General features: G+C 46.3%; 1 protein-coding gene across 8 annotated transcripts in view, besides 4 other annotated features; it reads right to left on the bottom strand.

Moving 5' to 3' along the window:
* NDRG3 (NDRG family member 3) overlaps positions 1–14450 on the bottom strand; it is a 94320-nt gene extending 79870 nt beyond the window's left edge. For 6 of the 8 annotated variants that reach the window (NR_038370.2, NM_022477.4, XM_011528927.4 and 3 more), the window contains exon 1: positions 14405–14450. The gene's annotated coding sequence lies outside the window, so the exon portion shown is untranslated. Of the gene's footprint in view, positions 1–13858 lie in introns of all 8 variants that reach the window. The other 2 variants (XM_017027979.2, XM_017027978.3) reach the window with 2 other exon arrangements.
* Positions 13913–14879: an enhancer, noted in NCBI's record as "H3K27ac-H3K4me1 hESC enhancer chr20:35373956-35374922 (GRCh37/hg19 assembly coordinates)". NCBI's record gives its function as "activates a minimal SCP1, AML or CMV promoter by ChIP-STARR-seq in primed H9 embryonic stem cells {active_cell/tissue: H9 hESC(primed)}" and the evidence as "EXISTENCE:reporter gene assay evidence [ECO:0000049][PMID:30033119]".
* Positions 14074–14263: a silencer, noted in NCBI's record as "silent region_12877". NCBI's record gives its function as "represses an Ori minimal core promoter by ATAC-STARR-seq in GM12878 lymphoblastoid cells {active_cell/tissue: GM12878}" and the evidence as "EXISTENCE:reporter gene assay evidence [ECO:0000049][PMID:35858748]".
* Positions 14294–14493: a silencer, noted in NCBI's record as "silent region_12878". NCBI's record gives its function as "represses an Ori minimal core promoter by ATAC-STARR-seq in GM12878 lymphoblastoid cells {active_cell/tissue: GM12878}" and the evidence as "EXISTENCE:reporter gene assay evidence [ECO:0000049][PMID:35858748]".
* Positions 14604–14703: an enhancer, noted in NCBI's record as "active region_17815". NCBI's record gives its function as "activates an Ori minimal core promoter by ATAC-STARR-seq in GM12878 lymphoblastoid cells {active_cell/tissue: GM12878}" and the evidence as "EXISTENCE:reporter gene assay evidence [ECO:0000049][PMID:35858748]".

Raw genomic sequence — 16570 nt, forward strand, 5'->3', positions numbered from 1 at the left:
ACTAAAAAAATACAAAAAAATTAGCTGGGCATGGTGGCGGGCACCTGTAGTCCCAGCTACTCGGGAGGCTGAGGCAGGAGAATGGCATGAATCCAGGAGGCAGAGCTTGCAGTGAGCCGAGATCGCACCACTGTGCTCCAGCCTGGGCGACAGAGCAAGACTCCATCTCAAAAAAAAAAAAAGAAAGAAAAGAAATATAGAAGTTAGTTGGCATAGTGGATCAAATCCATAATCCCAGCACTTTGGGAGGTGGGAGGATCACTTGAGTCCAGGAGCTCAAGACCAGCCTGAGCAACACAGTGAGACCCCATCTCTACAAAAAATTAAACAATTAGCAGGGTGTGATGGTATGTGCCTGTAGTATCAGCCACTCAGGAGGCTGAGGTGGGAGGATCACCTAAACCCAGGAGGCTGAGGCTGCAGCGAGCCACGACTGCACCGCTGCAGTCCAGCCTGGGCAACAGAGTGAGACCCTGTCTCAAACTAAATAAATAAATAATAGAAATATAGAATCTAACATTTCTGAATTGAAATGCAAGCAAAAATGTCACCAGGAATCCAGGAGAGACACACACTGGGAGGGGCTTTAAAAGATTAACAAGATCAGTGACTTTCAAGTTTTACAGCAAAACTCCGAAATAGAAAACAGAAAACATGTAGAGGCTTTGGTTGAAGTGGTGGTGAGACCACTAGGGCTCTGCAGAACACCGTTTAAAGCGTGATAATACAGAGTGCAATCCTTTGTTCACTCAGAAAAAAGACACCCAGAGACGCATGGATTCTTCCAGTAATGGAAAGAGCATGTAAGCACATCAGATGTGGATTCTAAACCTAAATGGGCCCCTACATAGCTCAGTGGTGCTGAGCAAAGCATTTTCCCTTTCTGGGCCTCAGTTACCCCATCTGTCAAGGGAAAAGATTGGGCAGGATGACCTTTTTGAGTCCCTGACAGGGCTGGAATTCTGTGATCCTGAAGCTCCCTGTAGAAGTAGTACTTCACATTCCTCCCCACCAGCATGAGCCTTACTACAATCCTAAGCATTTCCCCAGGTATTAGCCTAGTGAGGGTCAACCGCTTGCTGGAGATCACTCAGCAAATAAGCAGGAGGGTACACTTGGCCTGACCCTGGGGACATGAGGGTCTCAGCTTGTATCTCATTCTGCACTGTGTCCATTTAGTCAGATGAAGCTCACTGAGATTTCAAGCACTTAAAAACATTGCTTTGGCGAGGCAAGGTGGCTCATGCCTCTAATCTAGCATTTCGGGAGGCCAAGGAGGGTGGATTGCTTGAGCCCAGGAGTTTGAGACCAGCCCGGGCAACATGGCAAGACCCTGTGTCTATAAAAAATACAAAAATTAGCCGGGTGTGATGACGTGTGCCTGTAGTCCCAGCTAGTCAGGAGGCTGAGGTGGGAAGACTGCTTGAGCCCAGAAGGTGAAGGCTACAGCAAGCTGAGATTAAACCACTGCACTCCAGCCTGGGTGACGGAACACGATCCTGTCTCAAAAAAAAAAAAAAAAAAAAAAAAAATATATATATATATATATATATATATATATATGCACATATAAATTTCTTTGTTAGTTTAATAAAGACAATAAGAACAATAAGAAAGTTATTGGCTTTTGAAACTGCAAGCTGTCTTGTTTTACAGCTTTTTCCCATGACCAAGTTTGGCCTTTGTCAGGCCTTGCCAGGATGTGCTGACACCAGGCCGCTAGCTAGTATTCTAGGGGCGGAGTCAATCACCTTTGATTTTGGCAAGATTGCAGACAGACAACCAAAACAGAATGAAGGTATGGCCGGGCGCGGTGGCTCACGCCTGTAATCCCAGCACTTTGGGAGGCCAAGGCGGGCGGATCACGAGGGCAAGAGATTGAGACCATCCTGGCCAACATGGTGAAACCCCGTCTCTACTAAATATACAAAAAATTAGCCGGGAGAGGTTGCAGGTGCCTGTAGTCCAGCTACTCGGCAGGCTGAGGCAGAGCTTGCAGTGAGCCGAGATCACGCCACTACACTCTAGCCTGGGTGACAGAGCGAGACTCCATCTCAAAAAAAAAATAAAAAAAAATAAAAAACACACAGAATGACGGCAACAAACAAAGGGGGCATACTGGAGAGAATAATCTGGAAAGGGTCAGCTGGAGCTGGTGCTGAAGCAGTTATGGTTAGAAAGCCACAGGAAGTGGCCACGGGACTGGCTGGGAAGGCAGTCAGCAGAGCTCCTAAGCAAACAGATTCACATCCTCTCTCTTTATACCTTTGAACAGTGGCTATATGAGTAATCATTACAGCACTTTCCAATCTACAGAGCACCTTCACATTTAACATCTCACTGGATTATTATGATGGCACCGTGAGCTAAAACACTGAGGCACTGGCATCATGGCTACCAACAGACATGAAGAAACTGAGGCTGAAAGAGGTGACATGCCTGGGCACGGTGGCTCACGCCTGTAATCCCAGCACTTTGGGAGGCCAAGGCAGGCGGATCACCTTTGCAGTGAGCTGAGATCGTGCCATTGCACTCCAGCCTGAGTGACAGAGCGAGACTCCGTCTCAAAAAAAAAAAAAGAGGTGACATGGACTGACCAAAATACCACAACTAATAAATGGCACAGCTGGAACTGAAACCCAGGTCTTCCGATCCCAAATGCTCATTTTATGCCCTAAATCACACTTTCTCCCAGGTCATCACAGATGAAAAGACTGAGAGTGAAAAGAAGAGAAATTCAGAATTGAGAAGACTGCCTCACCACACCCACTCCGCACTGAACATGTCTTTATCTCTGCTTAAGCAGTTAGGATTAGGCCACAGGCTCTAGGATTAAGCCCTGATATGTAGTGAATAACAAGAAAGCACAGATGGGGGACTGGAATTAGTCTTTACCTATTAATTCAATTAAATAGGGGAGATAAGGTCTATAAACAAATTGTTACAGTTCGAGGCAGTATACATAGAAGCTTATGAACTGGACAAACTCAAAGGCAGTTTCTCAACCTTGGCACAACTGACATTTTAGGCCAGATGATTTTTTGTTGTGGGAGGTCTGTTCTATGCATTGCAGAATGTGTAGCAGCATCCCTGGCCTCCAATACTAGATGACAGTGGCACACTCCCCCAACAGCTGTGACAGCCAAACATGTCTCCAGATAATGCCAAATGTCCTCTTTGGGGCAAAATCACTCCCAATTGAGAAGCACTGCTCTAAGGGTTACAGAGGTTTAGGGCATAATCGAGTCACTGCAGCTTGTGGGTGCTGGGAAGAAGTTTCATGGAGGAGGTAATATCTGAACTGCACCTTGAGAAATAGATAAAATTCCTGTAAATGAGAATAAGAATAAAAGAGGAAATTCCAGAAAGGGAGGATAACTTAAAGGCAAGGAGATGAGAAAGCACAAGGTCTGCTGGAAATAGGAAATAAGGGTAAAAATGACAGCTGGAGGCTGGTCATGGATAGCTATCCATCAACTAATATTTACAAGATATACATACATAATGACATAGCCAACAATACACCATATCACACGTTTAACAGTATACAAGTCACCCCAGTGGCACATGTTGAGCATCTCTAATCTGAAAATCCAAAATCCGAAGTGCTTCAAAATCCAAAACTTTTTGAGCACTGACATGACGCTCAGACTAAATGCTCATTGGAGCACTCGGATTTTAGATTTTCAGATTAGGGATGCTCAACTGGTAAGTATAATTCAAATATTCCAAAATTGGAAAAAATCCAAAACCTGAAACACTTCTGGTCCCAAGCATTTTGGATAAGGGATACTCAACCTGTATTTCCATGTGTCCCACTCTCTGAAGGATTGAATGCTGCTTGAGTTATCATGTTTACATTGCAGCTAGTGTTTGGAACATACACTCAGAGCTAATGAAGCTCAAAACCAATGCAGAGGCAGGAGAAATAACTAAGGATTAGGATGGTCAGGAGTTTCCCAAGGGAAGGGAGAATGATGGGCCCTAAAGGGATATGTTTTGAACAGGGGAAGGGAGGAGGGACATACAGGTGAGGACATCAGGGTTGGGAAAGAAAGAATTAAAGACAATACACTCAGGCAGGGCACCTGTAATCCCAGCACTTTGGGAGGCTGAGGTGGGAGGATCACTTGAGGTCAGAAGTTCAAGATCAGCCTGGCCAACAAAGTGAAACCCCATTTCCACTAATAATACAAAAATTAGCTGAGCATGATGGCGCATGCCTTAATCCCAGCTCAGGAGGCTGAGGCTTGAACCCAGGGGGTGGAGGTTGCAGTGAGCCGAGATTGCACCATTGCACTCCAGCCTGGGCAGAGCGAGGCCCTGTCTCAAAAAAAAAAAAAAAAAAAAAAAGACAATACATTCAGGAGACACCAAGAACAATATAGCTGGGAAAGAAGACAAGCTGCAGAAGTAGCCTAGGTCAGAATGCAGAGCACCTGAGCTGGACTTTACTACACAGACAACCCCTGAAGGTTTCTGAGGAGCAGAATGACACAGAAGCTTAACTTTTTTCAGTTGTTTAAAACTTGGTCATGTTGTCCACGTAGTTATCTTAGCTACACTTAAACCTGGGAAGCAGTGAAGATTATCAATGACTCAGCCCCAACCTTAAAGATCCAATTTAATTGGGCTAACGTAGGGCCTGAGTATTGTTTTTAAAGCTTCACAGGTAATTCTTACATGCAGCTAGGGCTAAGAACCACTGGTTTACAGTAATGCCCTCATTCTCCAATGAGAAAAGAGGCCCAGAAAATTTAAGTGATTTCTGAATTCACACAGCCAGCTAGGTGTGGAGCTGGAACTAGCATGCGGATTCCTAGCTCAGCTCTGAAAGAGATCCCAGAGTACTGGGCTAAATTCCATACTTCAGTCTAGAAGATGCACAATTATCTGATGACTTGGCTCTTAAGTTTCCTCAGGGTTAAAGGCTGAATTAATCTAATCCTAAAACTATTGACTTAAACATCCCCTCAAGTGTCTACGGTAATGGATGTTGGTTCTACTGCTGTCTCCTGGGGGCCCTTAGGAAAGCAAAGGATCTCAGGAGACTCCCCCAGGAAGCCAGATAAACAAGCCAAACCACCCAGCTCCATGGAAGACTTTTAAAAATGCAGCTGAGATTTTTCACTGCATAAAGGAAAGTCTGGGTACCTCTTCGCCAGAAGAAATTCTCTCAGAGATGCTATCCCCCCTATCTCCATAAGCTAAGGGGTGGGGAAGGATCAAAGGCAGCTACTTAAGTAGCTGATATGCTCACAGATCCTCACTGTAACAGGAAGTACCCCTGCTCATCCTCAGGCCTAGATAAGGGCCATTCACACCCCTCATATTTTCCTGAAAGGAAAAGGGCAGCAACCCCTGCAATAGGCCCACCTTCCTGTTGTGTCACTCCTGGGTTCTGGCAGCAGGTGGTAAATGAGAGGTTTGTAGAGACTGCCAAGCTGGAAATCTGAGTCTGTCTTATATATTAATTCTATCCCTTCCAGGGTCCTGGTATAAATAACTGCTAGAACAAAGCAAGACCCATCTAGGAGCCTTCTTGTTAATCCCAGACACCCATCGGCCAGCGGAAGTTTTAACACAGGAGTCATACTAAAGTAACTCTAAAAGCAGAAGCACAACCCCCTGCCTTCCACTCCTGAAGAAGGCAACTCAGGACACGAGGAAAGCTACCACCAGCAAAGCCCTGGGGTGTGCTCTTAGATGGCTCCAGGTTCCTGCCAGCTGTAAGGCGGAATCCCTAAAAACAATTTGTACTTTAAGGCAGCCTGAGTGAGGTAAAGGACAAACAAGAGCCCTAAAATGCAGTATATAATACTCATACGAGCCAAATTTATTGAGCGCTTAACACTATGCCAGGTACCGTGATAAGCACTTTATGGATTCATTATTTCATTGTGCTTCCCAACATATTTAATCCACCCCATTTTACAGATGAAGAAACTGAAGCTCGGACGGGGTATTGTAATTTGCCAAAGGTCACACAGCTAGCAAGCAGCAGAGCAAGGATTTGAACCTGAGCAATCTGCATCCTGACCTCTATAACCAATTTTCCCCACTTGATGCCATCTGATCATTAATCCTTCTAATGCATATTCTCAGGTTAGGTTACGGGAGCTTACCAGGATGTTACTATAAAATAATTCTGAAAATTGGCTGGGCGCAGTGGCTGATACCTGTAATACCAGCACTTTGAGAGGCTGAGGTGGGCGGAGTTTGAGACCAGCCTGGCCAACATGGTGAAACTCACCTCCACCAAAAATACAAAAAATTCGCCAGGCATGGTGGCGGTCACCTGTTGTCTCAGCTACTCAGGAGGCTGAGGCATGAGAACTGCTTGAACCTAGGGGGTGGAGGTTGCAGTGAGCTGAGATTGTGCCACCGCACTCCAGCCTGGTGACAGAGCAAGACTCTGTCTCAAAAAAAAAAAAAAAATTCTAAACCCCATACAAAATTTAGGTATCGTTATTATCATTACTACTTTAATATGAGACTTGTACCTACCTGGGGGTATTGGAAATGCAATACAACCTGTGGACTAATCATCCAAAGTTATATTTTAGTGAACACCCTGGTTAAAACCATCCCAACAAAATGACTTAAAAGCAACACTTTCTCCTAGCACTTTCGGAGGCCAAGGCAGGAGTTCGAGACCAGCCTGGCCAACATGGTGAAACCCCGTCTCTAATAAAAATACAAAAATTAGCCAGGCATGGTGGCAGGTACCTATAATCCCAGCTACACGAGAGACTGAGGCAGGAGAATTGCTTGAATCCGGGGGACAGAGGTTGCAGTGAGCCGAGATCACACCACTTCACCACTTCACTCTAGACCGGGCAAAAGAGCAAAACTCCTTTGCAAAAAAAAAAAGCAACACCTTCAAAAGTTAAAAAATGGGGCTAGGCATAGTGGCTCACGCCTGTAATCCCAACACTTTGGGAGGCCGGGGTGGGCGGATCACTTGAGGTGAGGAGTTTGAGACAAGCCTGGCCAACATGGTGAAACCCCATCTCTACTAAAAATACAAAAATTAGTCAGGTGTGGTGGCATGCACCTGTAATCCCAGCTACTCGGGAGGCTGAGGCAGGAGAACTGCTTGAACCTGGGAGGCAGAGGTTGCAGTGAACTGAGATCATGCCACTGCACTCCAGCCTGGACCACAGAGTAAAAAACTGTCTCAAAAAAAAAAAAAAAAAGGAACCAGCCAGAGTGGCTCATGCCTGTAATCCCAGCACTTTGGGAGGCCGAGGCGGGTGGATCACCTGAGGTCAGGAGTTCAAGACCAGTCTGGCTAACATGGTGAAACCCCATCTCTACTAAAAATACAAAAATTAGTCAGGGGTGATGGCATGCACCTGTAATCCCAGCTACTTCCCAGCTACTCAGGAGGCTGAGGCAGGAGAATGGCTTGAACTCGGGAGGCAGAGGCTGCAGTAAGCCGAAATCCTGCCACTGCACTCCAGCCTGGGTGACAAAACGAGACCCCATCTCAAAAAAAAAAAAAAAAAAAAAAAAAAAAAAAAGGCCAGGCACAGTGGCTCATGCCTGTAATCCCAGCACTTTGGGAGGCCGAGGCTGGCGGATCACGAGGTCAGGAGATCGAGACCAGCCTGACCAACATGGTGAAACCTCGTCTCTACTAAAAATGCAAAAATGAGCCAGGTGTGGTGGCATGGGCCTGTAATCCTAGCTACTCGGGAGCCTGAGGCAGGAAAATCCCATGAACCTGGGAGGCGGAGGTTGCAGTGAGCCGGGATCGCCCCACTGCACTCCAGCTTGGGCAACGGAGTGAGACTCCGCCTCAAAAAAAAAGAAAAAAAAAAAAAAGCTGTCAACTTGTATCCATGAAAGAAAATTCAGCCTTAAAAATATAGAAGCACTGGGCCAGGCACAGTGGCTCACACCTGTAATCCCAGCAGTTTGGGAGCCTGAGGTGGGCGGATCACGAGGTCAGGAGATCCTGACCATCCTGGCTAACACAGTGAAACCCTGTCTCGGCCGGGCGCCGGTGGCTCACGCCTATAATCCCAGCACTTTGGGAGGCTGAGGTGGGCGGATCATGAGGTCAGGAGATCGAGACCATGGTGAAACCCCGTCTCTACTAAAAATACAAAAAATTAGCCGGGTGCGGTGGCGGGCGCCTGTAGTCCCAGCTACTCGGGAGGCTGAGGCAGGAGAATGGCGTGAACCTGGTAGGCGGAGCTTGCAGTGAGCTGAGATCACACCACTGCACCCTAGCCTGGGTGACAGAGCGAGACTCCGTCTCAAAAAAAAAAAAAAAAAAAAAAACCGTAAACCTTACAATAGAAAAACCTAATAAGTAATAAAATTAAGTATAAAGAGTGGCTATATCCAGAATTCTACTTGATCAATTGAAAACCCCAGACTGTAGACCATGGGCACTTTTAGGTAATAAGGGGATTATTGTCAAATGCTATAGCTAAAGCCTGGCGGAAACCACCACTGTACTTAGAAAATTAATCTTCATTTACTATATTAAATCTCTAGGGAAGATAAAAAGTGGCATCTCCACACAAAAAGACTCCATATAACACATTCTTCCCAAATCCAGGGAGGATACCAGCTCCATATCAATAACATTAATTAATGTTTGCCACTGCAATTAGTGTTTATAAAGAATTAAATTCAGAATGCAAAGAAGCCGGATTCCTCCAAAGTGCACCCCAGTTGGCCATCAACAACAATTTTTTTTTGTTTTTTGAGACGGAGTCTCGCTCTATCACCCAGGCTGGAGTGCAATGGTGTGATCTCGGCTCACCACAACCTCTGCCTCCCGGGTTCAAGCGATTCTCCTGCCTCGGCCTCCCGAGTAGCTGGGACTACAGATGTGTGCCACCATACCCGGCTAATTTTTGCATTTTTAGTAGAGACAGTTTGCCATGTTGGCCAGGCTAGTCTCGAACTCCTGACCTCGTGATCCGCCCGCCTCGGACTCCTAAAGTGCTGGGATTACAGGCGTGAGCCACCACACCTGGGCAACAAATTTTTATTTACAACTGATAAAATGTCAAATTCTGTCATGTACTATGAGACATATCACAGAACTCTGAGTGGACTACTAGCCCTTTCACTGAAGAGATAAAATCAAAAGACATAATACTACCCATTTTTGTATAACATGCAAAACACCCTTCATATATCAGTTAATTTCACATGAATGAGAGAACAATTAATTGTAGGTAAATATTATACATTAGTTTTATAGAATTAGCACTGTGATTTTTAAAAATTCATTTACCAAAGAAGGCCCTGAAACCTGGTAAATATCCATAATCAAGCTAGCTAAGTTTTCGTGTGCTATTTTCAAGTGCTATTAAAAAAGAAAGGTGGGGGGGGAATCTTTTAGAAGAAACAATTTGACATCCAGTTCTGCAGTAAACCCAAAATGTTATCAATCTTTGCACTTGAAAGTACTTTTTGATGCACCCCTTCCTTTCACCATTCCTATCCAGGCTTGTCCGTTTTCTTCCAGAATCTCCCATTTGGCCTTTTTTTCTTTCCTTCTGTCTTCACTTCTTACCCGGATTTGTTCATTCATTCATCATTTACTAAGCGCCTATTATCAGCCAAGCACAGAGCTAGACCCTGGTCCCTGCTCTTAGGAAGCTTACGTGATACCAAGTAAAGCTGCTATCTGCCCATCTCAATCACCATCACCAGCCTGCAAGCTTTAGCAAAGGCTTTGTATTTCCAGAAGCTAGCAGCATCTGGCATATAGCAGACACTCTAAAAATGTTTGTTGGATGACACTAGATTACTTTAGCAAGCTCTTTTTTTAATCCATAAATATTTTACTATATATCTTCAAAAAAGATTCTTATTTTTCTTTCATTTTTAAAACACAAAAGCATTATGTGCACAATGCAAAAATAATATAGAAAGGTAAAAAAGTAAATTCCCCAAGCCTCTAAATCTTACTCCCAGAAGTGAGGACCATTAGAGCTTGGTATATATCTTTCCAGAACTCTCCTATGTCAGTATACCCCCACACCTGACTCACACGCACTTTTTTGAAACAAGTTATTTGACAGTTTCTGACTCTAGCTGCTCAACCTTCTAATCAAGTGGTTCTCAAAGTGTGATCCTTAGACCAGCAGCATCAGCATCATCTGGGAACTTGTTAGAACTGCAAATTCTCGGATTCCACTCCAGAACTAATGAATCAGAAACTCTGAAGGTCGAGCCCAGGAATATGGGTTTTAATAAGCTCTCAAGGTAATGCTGGTGCACACTAAAGATTGAGAACCACTGCTCTAAGCCAGCCAAGCCAATTTTTTTACTGTCCGTTAAACATGGCAGGCACTGCTATCTTGTCTGTTTTATCAGCCCCGATTCAAAATGTTTTCCTGTCCTTTTGATTAATTCTGACCCTATCCACCTGTCAAAGCCCAGAAAGTCAAAACCCAAAGTGGTCTCACCACCACATCTCATACTGATCCTTCTTGCCCCCTTTCCCCAGCTCCCATGATACAGCTAGTCCCCCTACCATATAATTTAACAATTATATATACGCTGACTTCAACATTAGAGAACAGTGCTTTACTCTTCCCCAACAGACCATAACCTCCTTGAAGACATGAATCATGTTTTTGTATGTCTTCTCCCACCCCTGTTCTAAGCACATAAATAGAATCATAATAGAGTTGCTAGTTAATGTCTTTAAGGATGAATTCACTGAGAAGAAATACTGATAAACCTTTAGTGGCTAAAAAGTCTGGAATTTCAAGTTGTAGCCAGTTCTGCGACCTTGGACAAGTTCAATTCTCAAGGTGCCCCCCGCCACCTTTCTTTCTTAATAGTGCTTGAAAATAGCACACAAAAACTTAGCTAGCTTGATTATGGATATTTACCAGGTTTCAGGGCTTTCTTTGGTAAATGAATTTTTAAAAATCACAGTGCTAAGTGAGAAGGATGGACTTAATGACTCGATGCTCCATTTCATCCTGAATAACATACAATTTTATGAAACACCCCATGTAGGAATATCTTATTCCATTATAGTCTAATATTGCTTTGCTTGTAACATTAATATGGGAATGTTTAGACTTGATTTTAGTACAGTTAAAGACAATGTTTCCCAATTAGCTAGTAAGTTCTCTCAACAGGAACCTGTTTGATTCAACTGTGAATCTTCCACCATATCAGGCGCCATACATCCATGCCTTACCCATAGTCAATATATTTACAGAAAATTATTTGGAAAAACTCTTTAAGAACCTTCATTTAAATAAAGAATCTATGCACATATCTGCTGCCTCCCAAAGGACCTTTTTGAATATTTATTATTATAAATACCATGTAATGATATACAGTAAAAATTGTGATTACTTTGATACAACCAGGGGCAATCAGCCACAGAGGGCAAAAGAATGTAAAAATGGATTTCTCATGCATTGAGGGACAGACTAAAGGGGTATAAGCCTCAGACTATCCTACTGCAACATGCAAATGAAAAGTACCCTGTACATCGAAATAGCATATACCAACTCCACTGTAAACAGGCATTTTTCCCTGCTCAGAAGTAACAATTTAGAATAAAACAAAAGCAGCCGGGCTCGGAGGCTCACGCCTGTAATCCCACCACTTTGGGAGGCAGAGGCAGGCGGATCACCTGAGGTCAGGAATTCAAGACCAGCTTGGCCAACATGGTGAAAATCCGTCTCCACTAAAAATACAAAAAATAGCTGGGCATGGTGGCGGGCGCCTGTAATTCCAGCTACTTGGGTGGCTGAGGCAGGAAAATCGCTTGAACCCAGGATGCGGAGGTTGCAGTGAGCCGAGATTGCGCCACTGCACTCCAGCCTGGGCAACAAGAGCGAAACTCCGTCTCAAAAAATAATAATAATAATAATAAAACAAAAGCAGCTCGGCCTGGCTTGGTGGCTCACGCCTGTAATCCCAGCACTATGGGAGGCCGAGGCAGGCGGATCACGAGGTCAGGAAATCGAGACCATCCTGGCTAACACGGTGAAACCCTGTCTCTACTAAAAAAATACAAAAAAAATTAGCTGGGGGTGGTGGCGAGCACCTGTAGTCCCAGCTGCTCAGGAGGCTGAGGCAGGAGAATGGCGTGAATCTGGGAGGCGGAGCTTGCAGTGAGCCGAGATGGCGCCACTGTACTCCAGCCTGGGCAACAGAGCGAGACTCCGTCTCAAAAAACAAACAAAAACAAACAAAAAACAAACAAAAAACAAAAGCAGCTCAATCGTGAGTGCACGTTCAAGTAACATAAACAAGCTTTTTTTTTTTTTTTTTTTTTGAGACGGAGCTCTGTTGCCCAGGCTGGAGTGCAGTGGCGCGATCTCGGCTCACTGCAAGCTCCAGCTCCCGGGTTCACGCCATTCTCCTGCCTCAGCCTCCCGAGTAGCTGGGACTACAGGCGCCCACCACCACACGCGGCTAATTTTCTGTTATTTTTTAGTACAGACGGGGTTTCCCCGTATTAGCCAGGATGGTCTCCATCTCCCGAACTCGTGATCCACCCACCTCGGCCTCCCAAAGTGCTGGGATTACAGGCGTGAGCCGCAGCGCCCGGTCCATAAACAGGCTTTTTGATGCAAGACTCTTATCTGCAAGTTTTCAAAAACAACAGGGTGGATGGAGGCCTTTGAGTGGTAAATGGTGATGACAAGTTTAATCTGAAGGAAGAGACAAGCAAAGAGAAACTGAAGGGCAGGAAGGAGGAACAGAAGGGCACCAGAAGAACACCACGCTTTGAGTAATGAAAAGGGGGGGTGGAAATTAACTGAGTCCTTACCAAGGATCTACTGTGAGCCAGGCATCTGGAGCTGCAAAGATGGACCATGCCCTCAAGGGGCTAGAAGTCCGCAGGGTAAGACTGAGGCTAAGACCCTGTTTTGTGAACGTGTAATTCTAATTGGGAAAATCAAGCAGGGAAGGCTTCACAGAGAAGGTGGTGATTTAGTGGAGCCTTTGAAATGTGGAGGAGGATTTGCTAAGGGAGAAAAACGACAGTTTGAGCTAGTTATTTTGGGGGAGAAACATTCACATATTTTTATAGCTGTTCATTTGGAACTTTAAATCATGGGAGGCTTCTTAAATTCAGCACCACTCTATCAATGTTCTCTTTCTCTTCTTGCTTTATCTTAAATACTGAAATGTTCAAGCCCAACCTTGGGGCAAAGGCAGAAAGCCTCGGACAGAAAGCCCCGGAATGAGGTGAGTGCTAGCCAAATCTGCTCTGTCACCTCCAAGTCCAGCCCGCCCAGCTAGCCCAGTCAGCCCAGTCCTGCTCTCTTGGCAGGAAAGGAAGGCTAATAATATCCCCTGAGGGCCAGGGTAAGGGGGGGGGGGGGCGCGGCGGGGGTGATCTGGATGCCAGCAGGCAAGGATCACTCTTGTTCTGTCAGTAAGCCACCAAAGGAAAGCTTCCCTGCTTCCTAATCCACGGGGCTCCTAGTCTACCTGTGATAGGGAGGCCAGCTCTGCAGGAAGAAAAAAAGGGCTTCATGACAAGGAAGGGGGAAGCATTTGGATTGGGAAGTGCAGAGGTGGTTATGCGAGGTTATCTTAATAAAATGCTTAGCAAGATCCCTGGCACACAGCGAGCGGTGGAAGAACGTTAGCTCTTATATTAATAACACTATTATTATTACAGTAACACCTCAATTGTACTCCGACAACAAGAAAATCTTTTTTGTGCAGCCTACTTTTACGACGTTCGAGAGCAACTTCAGAGATGACAAGTGATTTCAAAATTTTTTCAAAGGTACGAGATCAAATTCCAACCGCACTGGCCTGAGAGCCCGAGACCCTGAGTTGAGAGCTGACCCTGCCACTTGTCAGCTGCGTGACCTTGGGCATGGCACTTCACCTTTCCGTGCCTCAGTTTCCTCGGCTGTTAAGTGGGGCTAAGAAGCCTCTCCCCGGTAGGGTAGTCGTAGGGTCCCGTTAGAGGATGCCCTCTGCTGCTCTGGGGCCGGACGGGTGCAAGGGCTGCTCACGGCCCCTCTTCCAAGCATCTGGGCTCTTGGAGCGGGCGAGGTAGATGGATGAGCAACCCCAAGGCCCACCAAGCTCTGCCGCCTGCAGAGCCAGAGCGAGAGAAGGGTTCGCGCCTGCGGGGGGCGTCCCTGTGACCCAGGGTGTTGAGCCCGGAGGGAGGCTCTCTTGCTACCCACACGCTGTCGCCGGCGGGCTGGGCGCGGGGAGCGGCCGAGGAAAGCCGGGCTGACCTGGGTCCGGCGGGCGGGCGGGGCGGGGCAGAGGGCCCCGGGGGCACGGGGGAGGCAAGCAGCACGGGCCACCAGGGCCTCGCCGTGCCGCGGAGATGATGCGGGGAAGGAGCAGGGCAAAGGAGCGACGCCCCCGAATGCGGCGCCGCGCGCCCCCCGCGGGCCGGGCGGAGGCGCTCACTCACCTGAGGCGCGGGCACCCGCCGTCAGTGCAGCAGCAGCGGCGGCGGCGGCGGCGGCGGCGGCGGCGGCGGCGGCGGCGAGAGGGGCGGGGGAGGTGCTGCGGTCCGCGCAGGCGCGCCGAGGACGCCAGGGCGGCGCATGAGTGCTGTGCCCGTCCACCTCGGGAACTACCGAGAAGATGGTGGCTGAGCCAGGAGAGGCCGGCGGCGCCATCTTTGATGTAGTTTTTCTTGCTGCGGAGTTTCCTCAGAGAAGAATCTCAGATTTTGGAGGCGCTGGGCGGCAGGGCCATTGAGCTCTGCGTCTGGAGCGCTTCCCTCAGTTCCCTGAGTCGCATCCTTATGAAGCCCCTAAGAGCTCTTGCAGGGTATGGCATCCTCCTTTTAAGGTGACCTAGAGCCATACCCAAGGTCACAGGGCGCCTAGCACAGTGCTCGGCACGTGGAAAGAGCTTAGTAAATTTTTGGTGAATGAACATAGTAATTTAAGAACTAGAGTCCAAGACTCAGGGCTCCGAATTACCAGTCCTCCATTGTATCACCCCTATTACAACCGTCAGCCAAATCATCTACTTTCTTGAATGCAACATTAGAGATGGAATTTTTTTTCCCAGAATGATTGCAGATATTAAACTTAATGACCCAACAATTTAACACCAAAATGTACAGGACACACTCTTCCTCTATTTATTATCTATTATTTCTTTACCATTAAGTACCACTGACTAAAAGTTTTTTTGTTTTGTTTTGTTTTGTTTTTTGAGACGGAGTCTCACTCTGTCGCCAGGCTGGAGTGCACTAGCGCGATCTCGGCTCACTGCAACCTCTGCCTCCTGGGTTCAAGCGATTCTCCTGCCTCAGCCTCCCGAGTAGCTGGCACTGTAGGCGTGTGCCACCGGGCCTGGCTAATTTTTCTATTATTAGTAGAGACGGGTTTTCACCGTGTTGGCCAGGATGGTCTCGATCTCTTGACCTCGTCATCTGCCCGCCTCGGCCTCCCAAAGTGCTGGGATTACAGGTGTGTGAGCCACCACGCCCTTTTAACCCGAGCCAGTGTCGCCATCTCGGCTCAGGTTCCCAAGTCCCTCAGCCTCCCAAGTAGCTGGGACTAGAGGCGGGCGCCACCATGCCTGGGTAATTTTTGTATTTTTTTTTTTTTAGTAGAGATGGGGTTTCACCATGTTGGCCAAGCTGGTCTCAAACTCCTGACCTCAAGCAATCCGCCTGCTTCTGCGTCCCAAAGTGCTGGGATTACAGGTGTGAGCCACCACGCCCGGCCACTAAAAGCATATTCTTTTAATTAAGGCAAACTGAACAAATGAATATTACCAAACATCTCAGAGGGCAGCAATAATATTGTTATTCATCAAGCACAATTCTTGAACTGAATTTAGTTGGAAGGAAAACTAACATTAATTGAGCACAGCCATTTATTTTATGGTTTATGTTCGTTAACATTTACTGAATTCAAATTAGTTCTAGTTCACCATCCACTATTTATCCCTATGTCCTTGGTTAGACAATTAAGTCTCTCCACACCTCTCCATGCCCGAATTCCTCATCTATGTCACACACCCAGAAATAGAAGTTACAAGGTTGTGGCAAAGACTGAATGATAATATGCATGTAAAATGCTTAGAGCTCAGTAAGTATTATTTTTCTTTGTTCTATCGTATTTTACTGTTGAAGACACAAAACATACTTCTTGAGTTTGAAGAAATCCTTATAAGCAAAAAATGCAATACAATGTAATAAATAAAAAGGGGGAGGGTATAATCATCTTTAGAGAGATAATCTGTCCCCATTTTACAGATGAGGAAATTGAGGATAAAATGAAAATTCATGGCCGGGCGCAGTGGCTCACGCCTGTAATCCCAGAACTTTGGGAGGCTGAGGCGGGCAGATCATGAGGTCAGGAAATCGAGACCATCCTGGCTAACAAGGTGAAACCCCGTCTCTACTAAAAATACAAAAATTAGCTGGGCGTAGTGGCGGGTGCCTGTAATCCCAGCTACTCGGGAGGCTGAGGCAGGAGAATGGTGTGAACCCGGGAGGCAGAGCTTGCAGTGAGCCGAGATTGCGCTGCTGCACTCCAGCTTGGGCAACAGAGCGAGACTCCGTCTCAAAAAAAAAAAAGAAAAAGGAAAATTCACTCCAACTCTCTCCATT

Source organism: Homo sapiens, chromosome 20, assembly GCF_000001405.40.
Source record: "Homo sapiens chromosome 20, GRCh38.p14 Primary Assembly".
Taxonomy (NCBI): Eukaryota; Metazoa; Chordata; class Mammalia; order Primates; family Hominidae; genus Homo; species Homo sapiens.